This window comes from Homo sapiens, chromosome 6, assembly GCF_000001405.40.
Source record: "Homo sapiens chromosome 6, GRCh38.p14 Primary Assembly".
Lineage (NCBI taxonomy): Eukaryota > Metazoa > Chordata > Mammalia > Primates > Hominidae > Homo > Homo sapiens.
In genome coordinates this window covers 167,032,274-167,053,070 of record NC_000006.12, presented here as the reverse complement: position 1 = coordinate 167,053,070, position 20,797 = coordinate 167,032,274, and the positions used below count along the sequence as shown (strand labels likewise).

General features: G+C 41.3%; 1 protein-coding gene across 3 annotated transcripts in view, besides 2 other annotated features; it reads right to left on the bottom strand.

Moving 5' to 3' along the window:
• Positions 1-352: 352 nt before the first annotated feature.
• CEP43 (centrosomal protein 43) overlaps positions 353-20,797 on the bottom strand; it is a 53,322-nt gene continuing 32,877 nt past the window's right edge. For 2 of the 3 annotated variants that reach the window (NM_007045.4, NM_194429.3), the window contains 3 exons: positions 20,429-20,468; positions 19,100-19,196; positions 353-13,167 (listed from right to left, as the gene is read on the bottom strand). In NM_007045.4, the coding sequence (NP_008976.1) occupies positions 13,093-13,167; positions 19,100-19,196; positions 20,429-20,468 (212 nt within the window). In that variant the 3' untranslated portion in view covers positions 353-13,092. The remainder of the gene's footprint in view (positions 13,168-19,099; positions 19,197-20,428; positions 20,469-20,797) is intronic. The other variant, NM_001278690.2, reaches the window with a different exon arrangement.
• Positions 5,116-5,195: an enhancer, noted in NCBI's record as "active region_25446". NCBI's record gives its function as "activates an Ori minimal core promoter by ATAC-STARR-seq in GM12878 lymphoblastoid cells {active_cell/tissue: GM12878}" and the evidence as "EXISTENCE:reporter gene assay evidence [ECO:0000049][PMID:35858748]".
• Positions 5,296-5,445: an enhancer, noted in NCBI's record as "active region_25445". NCBI's record gives its function as "activates an Ori minimal core promoter by ATAC-STARR-seq in GM12878 lymphoblastoid cells {active_cell/tissue: GM12878}" and the evidence as "EXISTENCE:reporter gene assay evidence [ECO:0000049][PMID:35858748]".

Genomic DNA, 20,797 nt, shown 5'->3' with positions numbered 1-20,797 from the left:
TACTAAAAATACAAAAATTAGCCAGGCGTGGTGGTGGGCACCAGTAATCCCAGCTATTCGGGAAGCTGAGGCATGAGAATCACTTGAACCCAGAAAGCAGGGTTGGAGTGAGCCAAGATCGTGCTACTGCACTCCACCCTGAGGGACAGGGCAACATTCTGTCAAAAAAAAAAAAAAAAGAAAGAAAGAAAGAACAAAAAAAGAAAATGGAGTCCAAACTCCAAAAGCATATTCATCTTCTAATGTACAAGTGTACTTCTACTTCCTGCTCTGAGGCTTTGCAGAACATACATCCTTAGAACTTATCATCCTGTACATGTTCACATTTTTTAAAAGATCGCAGACAGCCATGAAAGGTTTGTGCATAAAATTTATTTAATTTCAACTGAACAAAACCCAGACTGTAGGCAACTGCAGTAAGTGGAACAGTATTTGACTATCGCAATGAAGTCTGTCATGAAAACTATGAGTACGTGGAGCCATTTTGAAATCCGCAAAATCGAGAAGTTCTGCCGCCAGTATAGGGTCACTTGGTGAAAGGCAAGGGATGTCCTCCAGGATACACTGTTCTAATAAGATGCAGGGAAGAGGGGGATTTCATCTTCCAAAGAGTTGTCACTGGGAATTTACAAAGGCCCCTGGAAATAAGCTCAGGGTATCCACTAAAGGAGGTGGAGCCCCCTTTCACACACTTTTCCTTCCTCTTCCTTCCTTCCTGCACGCCCTATTTCCCTCACTTCCAGTCTCAGGTTCTTTAAAAAACATAAAATTATATAAATAAGTAGAATAGTATTCTTGGGCTTGTAACATATACAGAGGTAGTAAGTATAACAATAATAGCACAAAAACAAGTGAAGAGGACCTAGAGCTATAAAGAAGAAATGTGTTTCTATCTCACTGGACATAAGTTAGTATAAACTTAAGTAGATTCTGATAAACTGAGAAGGAGATTGTGAGCCATCAAGCATTCATTAAGGAAATACGTAAAAATATAGTTAAAAATAATTTAAGAAATTAAGTTGTTAAACTAGAAAATACTTAATGCAAAAGAAAGCAAAGAAGAAGAAGCAAAGCCACAAAAACACGAGACATATAGAAAACAAAAATTAAAATTGCAGACACAAATCCAGCCATATCAATAGTAACACTAAAAATGAATGAATTAAACAATCCAATCAAAAGAACTAAAAATTATCCAACTATATGCTATCTACAGGAGACAAACTTTTGATTCAAAGATATAAATAGGCTAAAAGAAAAAGGTATCATACAAATTGCCACAGTAAGAGCAAGAATAGCTATGCTAATATCAAACAAAATAGACTTTAAGTCAAACAGACAAAAAATACTAGAGATAAAAAGGAATATTTTACAATGATAATAGTGTATTTTACAGTGATTACAATACCAATCCATCAGGAAGATATAACAATTATAAATATGTATGCACCTAACAACAGAGTTCCAAAATATAAGAAGCAGAACATGACAGAACTAAAGGAATAAATACATAATTTAACAATAAAAGTTTCAGATTTTGAAACTGCCTTTGTAAATTTTAACAGTGAGAAAATTATAACAGTGAAAGAGATCTGATCTAACCAACTCCATCTTGACTTTAATCTCCAAATTGCCCTTGGTCATTCCTGGGCATGGGCCAAGCTAACTTTGGGACAAACGATTATAGTTTATAGTTTAGATGATAATAGCCCTGCCCCCCAAAATTAAACTGCCTTTGTAAAACTAATGAAAGGCTACCAGGTTAGGAGGAAGTGAGGGGCCTGAATTCTACTAAGATATAGGTGTAAAGATTACCACCTATTTTCTACAGAGGTCACAAGATTTGCAACTTTCCCAATTACTATAAATAACTTGACTATTGTAGAACCTAACATTTGAGATGACTTTCCAGGCTTTTGCATTTCTGACAACCAGATGGCCCTACTTGAACCTGTACCTCTTGAATTCTTGGCTCAACTGGTCCTCTGGCCCCCACCCAGAAGCTGACTTAGTACACAAGAAACATTTAGTTTCTTAGTACACAAACCCCTGCCCACCAAACTATCTTTGAAAAGACCTAGCCTCCAAATTTTTGTGGAGGCTGATTTGAGTAATAATAAAACTCCAGTCTCTTGTTTAGCCAGTTCTACATGTATTAAACTCTTTCTCTATTGCAATTTCCCTGTCCTCATAAATCGGCTCTATCTGGGCAGCAGGCAAAATGAACCTGTCAGAAACTTACAAATCCAATGTCTCATTTTCTTTCTTTTTTTTTTTTTTTTTTTTTTTCTTTTTTGAGTCTCACTCTGTCACCCAGACTGGAGCGCAGTGGCATGATCTCAGCTCACTGCAAACTCTGACTCCAGGGTTCAAGCAATTCCCCTGCCTCAGCCTCCCAAGTAGATGGGACTATAGGCGGGCACGCACTGCCACACCTGACTAATTTTTGTATTTTTAGTAGAGACAGGAGTTCTCCATGTTAGCCACGCTGGTCTCGAACCCCTGACCTCAAGTGATCTGCTGGTCTTGGCCTCCCAAAGTGCTGGGATTACAGGCGTGAGCCACCACGCCTGGCCAATGCCCCATTTTCAATGATGGATAGAACAACTAAGAGTAAGATCAACAAGGAAATAAAAGACGTGAACGACACAATAACAAGACCTAAAAAACACCTGTATTAGTCCGTTCTCACACTGCTATGAAGAAATAGCCGCAGCTTGGTAATTTATAAAGGAAAGAGGTTTAATTGACTCACAGTTCAGCATGGCTGGGGAGGCCTCATGAAACTTACACTCATGGCAGAAGGCAAAGGAGAAGCAAGGCACCTTCTTCACAGTGTGGCAGGACAGCCTGAGTGCAAGCAGGGGAAATGCCAGATGCTTATAAAACCATCAGACCTTGTGAGACTCACTATCATGAAAACAGAGTAGGGAAAACCACCCTCATGATCCAATTACCTCCACCTGGTCCCACCCTTGACACATGGAGATTATGGGGATTACAAGTCAAGATGAGATTTTGAGTGGGGACACAGCGAAGCCATATCAACATCTATAGAACAGTTTACCCAACAACAGCAGAATAGATATTAATATTTTTAAGTGCACATAAGACATGCTCCAAATGCAAATCTAAACCACAAGAGATACAATGTCACACCTGCCAGAATGTCTATATCTAAAAAGAGAGAGAATAAGGAGTATTCGTGATGATGTGGAGAAACTGGAAGCTTCATGCATTGCTGGTAGGGATATAAAATGGTGCAGCTGCTTTGGAAAACAATTTAGCAATTCTTCAAAACACCAAACATAGAGTTATTATATTACTCAGAGGCTCCACTTTTATGTACTCAAGAGAAAATAAAGCATATTATATATCTACACAAACACTGCATATGAATGTGCTTAGCACTGTTATTCACAACAGCAGAAAAAGTGGAAACAACCCAAATGTCCATCAACCAATGAATGGATAAAGTGTGGTCAATCCCTACAATGGAGTATTGTTAGGAAACAAAAATAAATGAAGTACTGACAAATGCTACAACACAGATGACTCTTGAAAACATTATGCTAAGTGAAAGAAGCCAGTCATAAAAGGCCACATAGTGTATAATTCCGTTTATATGTAATGTCCAGAAGAGGCAACTCTGAAGAGACAGGAAGTGGTTGCCAGACAGGGAGCTGAGAGGAATGGCGGAGCATAGGGAGTTACTGCCAATGGATACAAGGTTTCTTTTTGGGGTGAATTTTTCAAAATTTACTGTGGTAATTGTTTTATAGCACTTGAAGTTCATAAAATTTAGAGTTGCCTTCTTTTCGAAAGTGAATACAAAAGTATATAAAATTACCTGTGAATGAGGAACAAATCCCAACAAATCACAAATTTTAAAAATCTGACAAATACCACAAACGTCACAAAATCCAGAAAACTAAGATATCTATAACTGCCTGGCATGGCTTTTTGATACATCTGTGCTACATTAAACAGCAAACGTTCTATATGACTTTTCCATAGGACAATGATTTTAAAAATATCTTTCAACAGAGATAAAAAATCAGTTTACTCTGTTGATCAAAAATGATTTTTAATTCTTGAGAGGTTTTAAGGGTTTCATCAGTCTTTACAATCCCTTTTTTAAAATGTCATGAAAGTACTAGAATTGTCACATTTCTGGAAACCTTTTTCAAGTTCTTTTTCCACATATGAGTTTAGAGGCTATTTCACACTTTCAGTGACTAAGAACATTTAGTGATGTACATGCTCTTTCAATGACATTCATTAACCAATTTTTCATTAATGTCATCATAATGGCATATTACAGTTTTATGTTATTTACATCAATATTTTGTGTCAAATCAGTAATAATTTGAATATTTTTACCATGTATTTGCATGGTGTCTTCCCCTTCAGTAATTGCACTGTCAAATCATAGAAGAGCTCCTCATGATCTCTGGGCAACATGGAATTTATGAATCACTGTTTTGATATAATTTGAAAGATAGTTTGTTACAATTAGTTCTTTTTTTTGAGATAGGGTCTTACTCTGTCACCCAGGCTGTAGTGCAGTGATGCAATCTCAGTTCACTGCAGACTCGACCTCCCCGGCTCAAGCAAACCTCCTGCAATCCTCCTGCCTCAGCCTCCCGAGTAGCTGGGACCACAGGCATGTGCCATCATGCCTAGCTAATCTTTGCATTTTTTTGTAGAGACAGGGTTTCACCGTATTGCCCAGAATGGTCTCAAACTCCTGAGCTCAAATGATCCTCCTGCATCAGTTTCCTCAATAGCTAGGACTACAGGCACAGGCCATGATGCCTAGCTAATTTTTATATTTTTTGTAGAGATAGGGGTCTTACTATGTTGCCCAGGCTAGTCTCACAAACTCCTGAGCTCAAGCAATCTGCCCGCCTTGGTCTCCGTAAGTGCTGGGATTACAGGTGTGAGCCACCACGCCTGCCTACAATTCAGTTTTAATGTCCAGATGATTTCTAACGTTGGATCACTCATCTTTATCATGCAGATATCTAAAAGCAGAGCTAAATAAAGATGCTCATCGTGTGAGTTAAAGCTTGTCTGTTATTCCTAGGCACCACAGTCTGTGGTATACTAAGAATTGTTGTTTTTCTAGTCTCATAATTCTCTTGTGAACGAAATGAAAATGCAGGTTTTCGTGAAAATCCTTTTCAGTGTAAACACTTACGGCATCCACCGTGAGGTTCCTCTGAGTGGTAGTGGAGTCAAGACCAGAAATCCATGGTTTCTGATTCTGTGTCTCATGTTCTTACCACATACCGCTAACAGGGATATGAGAAAAAAGCTGCCAGGTCATAAAAATACATCACAGTAGCTCGGCGCGGGGCGAGAGCTTTGAGGAGGAAGTGACATCTGAATTAGGTTTTGAAAGGGGAACAGACATTCATCAGAAACTGAACAATCATCCGAGAAGTATTCTCTCTTCTCCTTACTCTCAACATCTAGTTAAGACACTAAGTCCTGTGAATCTTACCTTCTTAATAAAAATAGTATTTACTGAGTACTAGTGACTTGCCAAGAACAATGCTAAGCTCTCTGTGGGCATTACTTAAGACCAGGGCAGCCCTGTAAGGGAAGGAAGTATTTAATCCCCTTTACAGATGAGAAAACTGAGAATACTGATATTAAATAACTTGCCCAACATCACTCAGCCAAGTTGCCCATCCAGGCTTCTAGCCACTGTAGTGGAGTTGCATGATTTACATTCAATTACTCTGCTTTTCCGTTTTCCTGCACGTGCCTGCTGCCCCGACAGCACCTCCCTGTCAGTAGGGGACCCCTCCTGTCTAGGGTGGCCTGTGCTCCTCCCTCGTGATTCTATGAAGGCTGCCAATCATGGGCAGACCCCATCAGCCCATCAGTTTTTCAGGTCCCAATGTTCAAATTTCGCATTGAACATCCCCTCTCTGAAGAAGGTTTGCTCACACCTTTACATCCCCATGCAGAGCACACAGGCATTCTCCCAGCCAGGTTTCCACGTGGACATTGCAGGCAGCGCCCCCTATTCAGCACATGCTGGAGAGCCAAGTGCTTCCATGGTCCCCACTCCTAGGGGTCACAGATTGGGCTCCCCAGGAAGTGGACTCTGACCCCCAGAGATTGAGTTTCCTGCCAGGAGTTTATCAAAAGTGCCCCAGAAATCAACGCCTGCTGGAAGCTAGAATTGCAAGAGTAACTTGCCAGGCAAGCTCTCAGGGAGCTCTGGAGCCAGAATGGACTCAGGCTGAGAGGGCCGGGCCTCTTACCCTGAGGCAGAATGGTCGTTGGATGGAGCCCCCTGAGAGGGCCTGGCCTTGGTGACATAGGTCTCTACAGTGGAGGCCATCCCTGGAGAGGCCATGAGAATGCCCACAGCAGCCAACAAAGCCCTTCACTGAAAAGGGATGTGGTGGCACATCACAGGATGGGGCCACCTCTGCATCTGCAGGTGGAGTGGACAGAAGAAATCAGCCAACTGCTTGTTGAAATGTACGGAGTGTTAATTTGCATAAGCAGTTCTAATTTAGAAATTAGGCTAAGAAATTCCATTTCCAAGCCTGTAGTTTAACTCCAGAAACACACCTTCTGCCAGAACTTACTACAAAGAGGTTTAGGTTTGCAGGAACAAATGGCTTTCTTCATTCTTTCCCTTCCTTCCTTCCTCCTTCCATTTTTCCCTTCCTCCATTCCATTTTCCTTCCCTTTCTTCCTTTCTCCTTCTCTCCCTCCCTCCCTTCCTTCCTTCCTCTTTCTTTCTTTCTAGTGTGATGGATATTTTCTTGGAAATGTGTGTTAAGTTGGGGTAGATCAAATAAGTGAACCCTGCAATAAATCATGACAAATAAAAATATTGGAGAATGTAATTCACGCTCAGATATGATCTGCCATATATACCTAACCTCTATAAATGTAATTAATATATAATTAATATATTGACACATAATAGTGTATGTTAAAATGTAAAGAGAAAACTAGAGGGAAACGTGAAGTTCCAACACTTACCGGCAGGGAGAGCACTGCCCCTTGGTGGAGCAATGCCCGCAGCAGGGATGAACCCATGAGAGCTGCTAGAAAAGGCCTGGCACTGGGGCAGTAGGGGTGCTGGGGCAGGAGAGGCGCATGGGCAGTAGGGGTGCTGGGGCAGGAGGGGATGTGCAGGATGAAGCATGCTTCATTCATTAAAAATTTTCCTTTCAGAAAGCTACTAGTGCTTTAGAAACCACAAAGGATTTCAAACAAAGTATGATTAAGAGGTATATCCAATAGTCTGGCAACTTACAAAACATGCCAAAATCGTTTTTTCGTTGTTGTTGTTGTTTTTGAGACGGAGTCTCGCTCTGTCACCCAGGCTGGAGTGCAGGGGCGTGATCTGGGCTCACTGCAAGCTCCGCCTCCTGGGTTCACGCCATTCTCCTGCCTCAGCCTCCCGAGTAGCTGGGACTGCAGGCACCCACCATCGCACCCAGCTCATTTTTTTTCTGTATTTTTAGTAGAGATGGGTTTTCACCATGTTAGCCAGGATGGTCTCGATCTCCTGACCTCGTGATCCGCCTGCCTCGGCCTCCCAAAGTGCTGGGATTACAGGCGTGAGCCACCGTGCCCGGCCCAAAATTGGTTTTTAAAGAAAATACAGGGCTGGGTACAGTGGCTCATGCCTGTAATCCCAGCACTTTGGGAGGCTGGGCCGCGGGGGGGGCGGGGAGGGGTGCGGATCACCATAGGTCAGGAGTTCAAGACCAGCCTGGCCAACACGGTGAGATCCCGTGTCTACTAAAAATACAAAAAAAATTCGCCGGGCATGGTGAAACACATCTGTAATCCCAGCTACTCAGGAGGCTGAGGCAGGAGAATCGCTTGAACCTGGGAGGCAGAGGTTGCAGTGAGCCGAGCTAGTACCACTGCACTCCAGCCTGGGCGACAGTGACTCAGTCTCAAAAAAAAAAAAGGAAAAAAAAAATACAAGTGTCTGAAAATTTAACATTTATGGAAAAAAAGTTTCATCATCAAATCTGATGATTCTACAAACTACCAAAAACAAACCTCCAGCTAAAACCGCAGAATGACTGGCCTCCTGCATGCCACTGTCCACGCTCCTCCATGCAGTACCTCCTGCCTCCACCCGGCCCACTAAGCTCAGGCCCCAGGCATGCCCTCTCCTCTTCCCCGGTTCTTGGGAAGCCGGTCTGGTGTGCAGAGGGCAAACCTTGCCCAGTGCTGCTGTTAAACTAAGAGGCAGAGAAGTGGCCAAGCACAGCATGTGCTAGAAGCGGGGCAGGAGTTGGGAGCCCGGCCCCTCCTCCCAGGGCTGTAGCAGAGCACACGTTTCTGCAGGCAGGGCCACAACGCAAAGTCGGATGACACGAGGGGCCAGCTCGACCTTACCTTGTTCGGGGGTTCATTTTCTAAGGGCAGCAAGATTCATTTTTAAAAACATGTATCAGGGAATAAATTTCACATTCAAAAACGCTGTCCCTCCTACCTCAGAGGCCTTGCTGTTTCCTTCTGTCTGCCACTCTCATTCACCCGGTGCACACCCAGGTTTCCTTGAACCTGAGGACACTTTTCCAATCTGACTTCCTCGGGGAAACTTTGTCAGCCTGGAGGTCCTCTGGCCAAGTCTCCTGGCGCATCTTGTCATCTTGGTCTTCTTGCTAAACATAAAGATTTCTTTGAAATTGCCTTTGAGCTTACTGATTTTGAGTCATCCCATTATTCAGCCCTGCTACTGAATTATCTTAGGCCAACAATTTTTTAGTCAAAAATCATTTTTATTATAACCTCTTTCATATAGCCTCTTTTAGATTCAAATGTTACCTCAAATCTCGGAGTGGCATAATCAGGTTTGTCTTAATCCATTCAGGTTCCTAAAGTACCTTGGACTGGATAATTTATAAAGAATGGAAGTGTAGGGCTCACAGCTCAGATGGCTTAAGTCCAAGATCAAGGTACCGGCAGGTTCACCATCTGGGAGGGCCTGTTTCCTCATAGGCAACACCTCCTCACTGTGTCCTCACACGCTGGAAGGGGCAAAGCAGCTCTCCCGGGCCTCCTATAAGGGCGCTAATGATCTCATCAACTTCCAGAGGCCCTACCTAATTCCATCCTATGTGGGATTAGGTTTCGACATACACATTTTGGGGGACACATTCAGTCCTTCACAGGTTTTTGTTCTTGAATTATCTCGTTTCCTGATTACATTTTCTTCAAGATCAGTTCTTTGTTCATCTGTCTTTCATGACATACATTCACTTTCCTTAAATGTCAGATGCTTGTTGAACGTGTGGAACTCTGAACGCAGCATTAGGACAACTCACAAAGGTAGCTGCCCTGGATTTCCTCCCCAAACACGTCCCTTCCTAGAGCAGGAAGACTAGGCCGGGCACCGTGACTCACACCTGTATTCCCAGCACTTTGGGAGGCTGAGGCGGGTGGATCACCTGAGGTCAGGAGTTTGAGACCAGCCTGGCCAACATGGTGAAATCCCGTCTCTACAAAAAAATTATAAAAATTAGCTGGGCATGGTGGCAGGCACCTGTAATCTCAGCTACTTGGGAGGCTGAGGCAGGAGAATCACTTGAACCCAGAAGGCAGGGGTTGCAGTGAGCCGAGGTCGCCCCATGGCACTCCAGCCTGGGCAACAAGAACAAAACTCCACCTCAAAAAAAAAAAAAAAAAAAAAAGAGGACAGGGACACTGGGAGCACGGACTGCTCGGAGGGCAGGGGTGAGACTAGCACCCATGGACAGAGAACTGATGGCGGGAATCCTCCCCACCCAATGCCACAGGAGGGCTCCAACTTGGGCTGGGTGTGTTTTTCTCCAGGAAGAGCTGCCTCTCCTGTCCTGCCCCCCTCCCATGTCCTTCATGAACCAACACCACAGCAGAGCCACACAGAGGGCACCTCCTTCAGAGGCCCTGCTCCAGCTGAGCTTGGTGGGTGGGGCAAATTCACAGGACGGCCTTCTCCTGAACCAGATCCCCTTCCTGCAGACTTGAACCTAGGGACCTCCCCAGGTTTAGGGTAAGGACAGCTTTCCCCTCAGATTTTGTAGATTGTTCCAGCTGCCTAGCCAGAAACCACATTCTCCAGGCCCCATGTCAGTGCTCAAGCCTGTTTACAGCCCCAAAGATGCCAAGCTCATACTAGGGGACAAATGTTGTGCCAGGTACACAGCAGTTTAAAAGAAAATCCCTGTTCTCACGAGCTCATAGTTAAACACACACACACACACACACACACAAAATAAGCAAGACCATTTCAGAGTATGCTGAGATGAATAAAATAAAAGGGGTAAATGCAAGTGGTGGGGCAGGGACAGGGAGGAGAATGGACATCTCCCTTAGGTCTGGAAGCGTCTTTGAACATGAGACTGAAATAAACCAGCTTCATGCAGTTCTAGGGGAAGGACATTCCAGACAAGGAGGGGCAAATATCACACCTTGAGACAGGAAGGGCTTTGGCAAGCTCAGGTGCAGAGGCTGTGCAGCAGTGGGCTGGCACAGCTCTGGTGCATGGGCAGGAGAGGGAAGTAAGGAGGGGAGGAAGAGCTGTGGGCAAGCATGAGGCAGGGACTAATGGCATCTACACAACTGCCCACAGGTTGTTATCCAACATAAAGTATAAAAGCACAACCGAATATCAACAAAGAGAATAAATGCTTTTTATTCATTTGTAGTTATCAATAAAATGAAAGAAAGACCTAGCATTTTTAAAACTCCACTGTAAAACATAGGTTACCATAAAAATGTATTTAATGGGTTAATATTTCAATATTTATTTTTTAACAGAAAACACTCATCACATGCAAAACCTGTCACTTCACATCTTCAAGTTTCATAAGTTGATAATACCTAATCAAAAAGTACATGTGAAAAGAAAGCTTTTTCATAGTTGAACTTTAAGTCATTCAAAATCATTCAATAAAATGGATGTAGTACTGGCCAGGTGCGGTGGTTCACGCCTGTAATCCCGGCACTTTAGGAGGCTAAGGCAGGAACGAGGTCAGGAGTTCAAGACCAGCCTGACCAACATGGTGAAACCCCATCTCTACTAAAAATACAAAAATTAGCCGGGCGTGGTGGTGTGCACCTGTAATCCCAGCTACTCAGGAGGCTGAAGCAGGAGAATCGCTTGAACCCAGGAGGCGGAGGTTGCAGTGAGCCGAGATCGCATCACTGTACTCCAGTCTGAGTGACACAGTGAGACTCTGTCCCCCCCGCCCCCCGCAAAAAAAAGATGTATGTAGTGCTGACAAAAAAGTTTCATATTTGGCATATTTCTTTTACCCTCCCAAATATTATCAAAAGGTCTGATTCTCTGCGTAACAGAAAAGTGACAAATTTCAGTTGCTACTGTTCGAAAGTTTCATAAATTTAAAAAGCCACATCCTGCTATGCTTTCAAATCATTTCACTGAAACCTAGTTCCTATCAAATATTAAAAATAAATCATACATGTGATCCAGATTCCAGGGGACCAGAACTATAGTGCTTTTAGAAAGTGACTGTTTACAGAGATGACTTACAAAGAAATGCATTTTATAACAACCACACTGGGGGACTGCAACAAGATTACATCTGCACGTGGTGCTGTTTACTAAGACATGAAGAGCTGAAGGAGACTGAGATAGCAGCTCACAGACGGAGGGCAGAAATACACAGGGCTCCCAGGCTGTACCGGCCCAGTTTATGTCCTACTTCCTCTTGATGTTTACAGCTTAGTTTCACTTAAATTTTAAAAAGCCAGATTCTGTTACACAGCCTTAATCCTTACATTTTCATTTCCTCTACATTTTAGAGCCCAAGGAGTAATTTCTGTAATATTTAGGCTAATATGAAATGAGAAACTGGCATTACACAAGTCATGCAGTCTGCTCACTTAACCGAGATCAATGAATTAGGTCTAATTTGCTCCTTTTACTAATAAAGTTAACTTGTAGTAAAAAGCCGCAACTTAATTGAAATTATAAAGTGCAAAAACAGCACAATCCTGCTTTACTTATATATAAATATGCATGCATCACTTTCTACTGTTTTTTCTACTTGCACATTTTAAAATACTTTAGTATTATAAACATCCGTGACCTACATAATAGCAATAATGCTTTAACCGTATAAATGAGACTGTGGAAATTCTATTATTGGCTCTATTTTTAAGGGTTACAATGAAATTATGTACAGTATATAAAGCTTGTCAAACTGAACATGGTCTTAGGCCATTACTACTATTTCATTCCAATTTGGATTTTAATACAATTAACTTACAGATCTGAAATAAAAGCACTGCTTAATGGTTTCAGATGCATTTAAGTTTCAAGGAATCTTTACAGATAATAAATTATAATGAAGAGAACCTACGACTAAAGCTGCTTACATGGATAACAGGAGGAATGACGATTGCAAATGTTATGTTATTGACAATTCTATGAATTAAAACTCATAACCACTTCTAGATTTCTTTAAAACAAGCAAAACTAAATAGCACACACAAGAGTACTTTAATATAACCTTAATGGTCTAACAAACCTTCCAAATGGAAGGAAATACAAAATAAAGTTGACACATCAAATTTAACTTATACTAATATACTTCAGCATTACAAATTTACCAAGTCATTTTGCCAACTATGTGTAGAACCACCTAATATCAAAATATACTATGGTGGGTAAGCTCTGATTCCAGAGGGCTAAAGCCAAGGTTTTCAAAGATCACACGTACCAGCAGCCACACACACAAAGGGTTGCGCGATCCTACGGCTTTATTGACACCTTTCATCATGCTCTTAACACTGATGTTTTCATGGGTTCCTTCCCTGTAATGAAACTGAGTGTAGATAATCAATTTCCATAAAGAAATGTACAGTTAAATTAAGAATATTAAATCTTCCACACATGGGCTCAAATAGGAAGTATTTTGTTTAGTAAAATGAAAATTACTTTTAAAAAATATCTGCAGTGTTTTTGAAATGCAAGGCACCAATAGAGAGCAGACATTCCAGCTGAGTGATTGTCTGGAAAAAAAAAAAATGGAACCGGTCAGTCCTCTGTCCTTGTTAATTAGAATACTTCCTTCTTCGTGTCTATGCAACATCTTCCAGATAATCCGCAACATCACTGAGCTGGGATACAGTCAGATCTTGTGTGAGGTCATCAAGCTTTGTTGTTCAAAAGAAAGAAAATAATTAAGTGTCAGAATGTGAGTAGTCTTAAGTTATTTTAAAAAATCAAAGCCACAATGAGATACCACCTTACTCCTGCAAGAATGGCCATAATCAAAAAATCAAAAAATAATATAAATGTCAGTGAAGATGTGGTGAAAAGGGAACACTTTTACACTGTTGGTGGGAATGTAAACTAGTACAACCACTATGGAAAACAGCGTGGAGATTCCTTAAAGAACTAAAAGTAGAACTACTGTTTGATCCACCAATCCCACTACTGGGTATCTACCCAGAGGAAAAGAAGTCATTATATGAAAAAGATACTTGCACACGCATGTTTACAGCAGCACAATTCCGAATTGCAAAAACATGAAACCCAGCCCAAATGCCCATCAATCAACAACTGGATAAAGACATTGTGGTATATACATACCATGGAATACTACTCAGCCATAAAAAGGAACAAATAGGCCAGGCGCAGTGGCTCATGCCTGCAATCCCAACCCTTTGGGAAGCTGAGGCAGGCGGATCACCTGAGGTCAGGAGTTCAAGACCAGCCTGGCCAACATGGTGAAACCCTGTCTCTACAAAAATACAAAAATTAGCCAGACAATATAGCGGGTGCCTGTAGTCCCAGCTACTTGGGAGGCTGAGGCGGGAGAATCGCTTGAACCCAGGAGGCAGAGGTTGGAGTGAGCCGAAATTGCACCACTGCACTCCAGCTTGGGTGACAGAGCGAGACTCCGACTCAAAAAAAAAAAGTAACAAAATAATGGAATTTGCAGCAACCTGGATGGAACTGGAGACCATTATTCTAAGTGAAGTAACTCAGGAATGGAAAACCAAACATCACATCTTCCCATTAATAAGCAGGAGCTAAGTTATGAGGATGCAATGGCATAAGAATGATACAATGGACTTTGGGGACTCCAGAGAAAGAATGAGAGGAGGGTGAGGGATAAAAGGCTCAAATTGGGCCCGGTGTGTACTGCTAGGGTGATGGGTGCACCAAAATCTCACAAATCACCACTAAAGAACTCATTCATGCAACCAAACACCACCTGTTCCCCCAAAACCTATGGAAATAAGAAATAAAAAACTAAAAATTAAAAAAACTGTTGCTGTAAAGTATTACTTTATACTTCATAAACCAACTCATATTTAAAGCTGTGTTGAGAAGCGATTTGCCTAAAATCATGTCTACTAAGTTAGTACAATCTTTAGAGCCCAATGTTTTATGATTATTCTCAAATATTTCAAGTGAAAATTTAAAATAAAACACATCTTAGCCATTATTCCAATTTAATCTAAGAAACAAATTAGTGAAAAACTGTATTAAACTTCTTTACCTGAGCATAGTCCCAATGTATGATTCTGTTCACAGGAAGTATCACTCTATGAATTGCTAACTCTAAAACCATAATTTACCCACGTTAAATTTCACGAAAATTCATTAAAATGTATAATTTGGAAACGATCCCTTCTTATGTTTTCATATGACGGTATAGAACGTTAAGTTTCTAACATCAAACTCGACATGGTGTGACACACTTTAACACTGTGCCACCTGAAGCCAGATCATGAAGTGAAAACAGAAGGGCAGACAGGACGGCCCATGGAGTCTCAGACTCCCAGCCCCGGGTTCACAAAGTGTTGTAAGAAACGACTCATTTCTACTTCTGTTTAAACTACTTGTAAACTAGAAAGTTAACCTATTAACCAACTTATATCTATTCATTTGTATAAACAACTCATGATAATGGAGAAAGGAAATATTAATAGATATGTAAGCATAATGCAGGCTGGGAAAACATTTCTTAACTAAGGAAAAAACCACGGGTGAATATACAGGCTCCAGAATATAGAACATACAGCTGGGCAGGTCCCACTGACAGCTGAACAAGGACAGAACCCAACCTTCCCAGTCCCACCTAGACTCATTGTTGTGGCAACAGACCAGGGGACAGTCACAGCCACACCCACACACACACTCTTAGGCATCGTCTATGGCTGTCTTCTCCATGCAATGGCAAGGTGGAGTAGTTATGGCCTGCAAAGCCTAAAATATTCACTATATGGCCTTTTAGAGAACAAGTGTGCCAACACCTGGGCCAGGTAATAACGCACAAGAATAGGAACATCTTGTAGAGATGCAACAGTTTCATCCCGAGATACTGTGAGATGCTTTTATTTGTCTGTTCATCTGCCCCCCACATATCCTCTCATTTTGTTATTCTTCGGATATTCAGAAATTTAAGTTGTAAGTAAAATCCTTTTCAACAAATAAGTCCTTGCCCTTTCTCTTGGTCCAAACATAGTCCTGCTGTAAAACTATCTCACAAAGAAAATTATTAGGAATCTTAATTACAGTTCTTATGCATTCAATTCAAATCCAATTTACACAAAAACTGAAAAGTCAGAAAAGCTTGCAGACAGACTGTAAAACAAACTGATACCTTGGAACTGTAATTTTCTCTTCCCATCATTATTACAGAGTGAAATCAGTAAGGTATTCCATCTCGTTTACAAAGTAATTGAGTGTTATATTAATACAAATGCTAAACTACAGACAAGAGTGAATACAGGAAAAATCGTGGACTGAAAACGATCTTAATCTAGATAATTCAGTTATTGGAGATCATTAATTTAGTTTTGCTTTAAGGCAAAGAAAAGACCACAATAATAACCAGAAACTTCCAAGAAGAACAGTTTCATTTAAAGTAGTTACCAAGAAAGAAAACTGAATGAACAAAAGCTAACTAGAAATAAATGGCTATTTAATAAAGCCTTTCCGCCGGGTACAGTGACTCACGCCTGTAATCTCAGCACTTTGAGAGGCCAAGGCGGGGGGATCACAAGAGGCCAGGAGTTTGAGACCAGCCTGGCTAACATAGGTGAAACCCCATCTCTACTCAAAATACAAAAACTAGCCGGGCATGGTGGTACATGCCTGTGGTCCTAGCTACTCAGAAGGCTAAGGTAGAATTGCTTGATCCCAGGAGGCAGAGGCTGCAATGAGCCAAGATCCAGCCATTGCACTCCAGCCTAGGCAACAGAGTGAGACTCTGTCTCAAAAACAAAAACAAAAACAAAAACAAAACTAATAAAGGCGGCTTTCATGCCTCCTTAGTTTTAGAATAAGAACTCAAAGTGACCAACTTAGTTCAAAACTATAAAAATAGATTTTACATCACAAAATAAAAATATCTAAAACGTACATTTTGAGTCTTGAAAGGGAAACAAAGGATCCCTGTGATAGCAAGCTTCATACAAATCGACGGGAACTTGTAAGATTTTGAAAAGTTTTATGAAGTGTAAATGTTCACGTTTGCTGAATTAGATTGCTATGCATTAACAGAAACCTGGGATGCACACTTATGTTCTGTCCCTTAGGAACGTGTGGCCCTCTTCCTCCAACATCTACCTATGTCTTTGCTCGTGCTGGCTCCCGTGCAGAGACTACCCTCCCCAGGGCCTCTGCTCCTAGTTCATCCTCTGTCATTTCTGGTTCAAAGTCACCTTCTAACAACCCTGCTCCTCCCAACATTCTGTCTCTTCACACAGCACCCTCCAGTGAAGCTCTGGAATCAGGGCAGCACTGACATGTCCCGGGATCTCCCTTCTGTTCTCATGGAGCTTACCATGTTCCTCCTCAGCCCTCGCAGAACCAAGTCAGAGTCATCTTTCAAAATCCCGGTCAAATATTAGTTCCTGCTTCTGAATTTTCATGGCCCATGAATGACTGGCATTTTATGGCACCTGTCACTTTTTATCTTGATTTTCCTATGTTTGTGTACATGGCTTTTCTCTCTCTGATCCTGCATAAATTTGAGGGAAGAAGTCTATATCTGTGCCTACGACAGAAATGTCTATTGTGACTACAATGAATAATAGTATTAGATACCATTTATTGAATGCCTGTTCTGCTAAGCACTGAGCTATATGCTTTACACGCTTATCTCTAATTTTCACTACCACCATCTCTCTTGCAAAATAGATGTGAGACCCAAGGCCCCAAAAGTTAAATAACTTGCTGGGCGCGGTGGCTCACGCCTGTAATCCCAGCACTTTGGGAGGCCGAGGCAGGCAGAGCACGAGGTCAGGAGATCAAGATCATCCTGGCTAACATGGTGAAGTCCTGTCTCTATAAAAAAATACAAAAAATCAGCTGGGCGTGGTGGCAGGCGCCTGTAGTCCCAGCTACGCGGGAGGCTGAGGCAGCAGAATGGCATGAACCCGGGAGGCGGAGCTTGCAGTGAGCTGAGATAGCGCCACTGCACTCCAGCCTGGGCAACAGAGCAAGACTCTGTCTAAAAAAAAAAAAAACAAAAAAAAGTTAAATAACTTGGCCAAATTTGTGAGTGGTAAGTAGCAGCTCCAGAACTCAAACCCAGATGTGATGAACTTACAGAACTTGCCCATTCCACTGGGCTATCTCCTTCCTCACACCCCCACATCCCCAGCCCTGTGCTCTCTAAATAGTAGGTGCTTAATGGACACTGGTTTTGGTCACCTTGGCTGAAAGGTGACCAGATTGTCTGCTGTATTCTTACTGCAAAGAATACAAATGCTTTTGTGTTCCCCAGGTGCCCAGTAGCAATTCTCTACACAGAAGGCTTTAGAAAATGCTTCCTGATGAAGTACAGTGACTGTCAAAGTCCAATCTATGTAAATGGCAAAATTATCTAAATTTAAGCTTTTAAGTGAAAACTCCTAGGAACATTGATGTGCCAAACCCAGTGAGTAGGACCCAGTGAGAAGCAGTCTAACAAAGCCCAGACTCCTGGACGCCATCCAAGGCCCCCAATGGCAAAGGGATGCCACACCTCCTCTTCAACCCACGTCATTTCACAAATCCTAGTTTAACAGTCATTTCTTCGAGTCCTCTCCCTCATATTTAAAGAATCCTTCATAGTTTCTTTGGTATAACTTTAAAGCAACATTCTTCAGGCCTCTTTAGGATGATGCAGGGTGAAAAGAGAAAGCTAAATTTATAATTATAAGGGTATATAATACATCAGGAATTAGAGAAGTGCTTTATATATTATCATTTAACCTTCAAAATAATCCTATCACATAGGTATTAATACTTCCATCTTACAAGTAAAGAAACTGAGAGTCAAAGGTTAAAGCTTAAATAAGAAAATATATGAAAGAATAAGAATGCAAACACGGATGCTGCTGACTTAGATTGTGTGGTTGCATTGTAAACGCTACCTCTCTCAAAGGCCTTCTCCCTGTGTGACAATCACAGCGCTTGGAGAATCCCACCATGTTCTGGAAAGCAAGTCCCCACCCAGCCATGGCAACCTCCAACCTGACTGGTAGACTCCTCTGAGCTGGGGACAGCTTGAAGTGGGTACTGACAGGTGACCCTGCAATGCTACAGCTCACCATCGAAGGATCTTCTGTTCTCCACCCACATAAAAAGGTAAAGTTTGGATCTCAAATACGGACTCTAACTTTATGGCCTACTGTCTTGTCTCCTGTGGATTTTAGCCCAGTCTGGCTTGCCTGTTCAGATGTCACAACTGGCCAAGATGACCACACTCTCTGCACTCCAGGCTCAGCTTCCTCCTGTGATCACAGTACCCTATACTGACTTCCACCTATGGCACCAGGTGGTCAATTCTCACTAAGCCTGACCCACCCTGATCCCTCTTAATCCACAGCAATCCCAGTGCCCCAGGAATAATCCTCAGGCATTTCAGCAGCGAGACTTGCATACCAAAGGAAGTGACAACCAAAACCAATCTTACACATTCATCAAAGACATTCTTTATAAACTCGAGCCAGGTCTCTGTCATGACTTTTCATAATTTTCAACTGTTTTTCTACTAATTAGTATGAATTTTGAAGCTTTACAGTAAATCGACAAATAGGTTAAAAAAAAAAAGCACTCTATGGGAAATGCAGAACACCATACCTTATCACTGGTATTGATGTCATCTATTTCCACAGAAAGGTCTTCTTCTATCTCTTCACCAATACTTATCTCACTTTTCTCTGAGCGATGGCTGGTACTAATTTCAGAAGGGGAAAAAAAAATAAGAACTCTGAAAATAAACATTTAAAGAGATTACTATTCTTTAAACATTCAGATATTTCTTTTAATCCTTTAAGTAAAATATAATATTAACTATAATTAATTTCATACATATTGTCTTGCTTGACCCTTAAAATAATGTAGCAAGGGCAGCAGCAGTCAAGTCAATGTAACAGATGAGGAGACAAAGGTTCAAAGCAGTGACTTTGGTCACAATAGCAAGAAAGAAACAAACCCAGATTTTTACAATTTCATCTACTACATCATGCTCTTTCTCAAAAACTGTATAATAAATTATAAAAAAAAATACAGACTTCCAATTGGAAAGATAACCTGTCAATTAAATAAAATTCTCAGGCATCTAATTTAAAATTTCGAATCATATCCACAACAAATATTACTTCTACATTACATATTATCTTTCTGTGTATAAGAAAGGAATCGACAGGGCATGGTGGTTCTCGTCTGTAATCCCAGCACTTTGGGAGGCCCAGGTGGGTGGATCACGAGGTCAGGAGTTCGAGACCAGCCTGGCCAACACGACAAAACCCTGTCTCTACCAAAAATACAAAAATTAGCCAGGCGTAGTGGCACGCACCTATAATCCCAGCTACATGGGAAGCTGAGGCAGGAGAATGGCTTGAACCCGGGAGAAGGAGGTTGCAGTGAGCCCAGATCGCACCACTGCACTCCAGCGTGGGCAACAGAGTGAGACTCTGTCTCAAAAAAAAAAAAAAAAAAAAAAAAAAAAAGAGAATGGCAATCTTATTAGGGCAGACCACATATCCACATATTAGGAAATGTGATCTGAATCAAAAAACTAATTTGAGAGCATAATTATTTTAGGTCAATTTTGAGACAATTCCCGCCACAAAAAGGTATGGAAGGAAGAGAAAATCAGCACTTATGACACGGCAACTGAACTGCTTCTAAATGACTTCTCAGTTAATTCTTCAATTGTTTCTCTTCTTCTTACCAAGTTTCCTGAACATAATGTGACTGTCTATATTCTAATGTAAAATCAAAAACATGCTCTAAAATCAAATATTTAATTTTGGATTAACTATCTTTTCTTCATCTTCAATCAATATGAACAACAGAATCAAATACATTAAAATAAGCACCAAATGTAATTTTGTCTTGTCTGTGTTCGGAAATTGTTTACAAATAACGTATATATTTATATATTTGCCCAATAGTTTTTCTTACCTATTAAAATCATCAACATAGTCATCATCTTCTCCAGTTCCTGATAAGTTTAAGAAAAGATATGTTATATCTAATGTGCGTCACAATTTACCTACCATTAAACACACATTTCCTTAAAAAAAATTAATTATATTGCATCATTTAAAAAGTCCCAGACTAGAAATAACATTTTAAGCATATATAATATGAAGACAAATGACAAATGAAATACCTAAGAAATAATAAACTGTTACAAGTGACTATAAAATGTGGTTAACACCTCATCTTTACTCCGGGTACTCTAAGGCAATTAACATGGGGCACACTCACCATTAATAAGGTCCCTTGACTTAATGGCGTATAGCAATAGCAAGTCATCATCAATCCCCT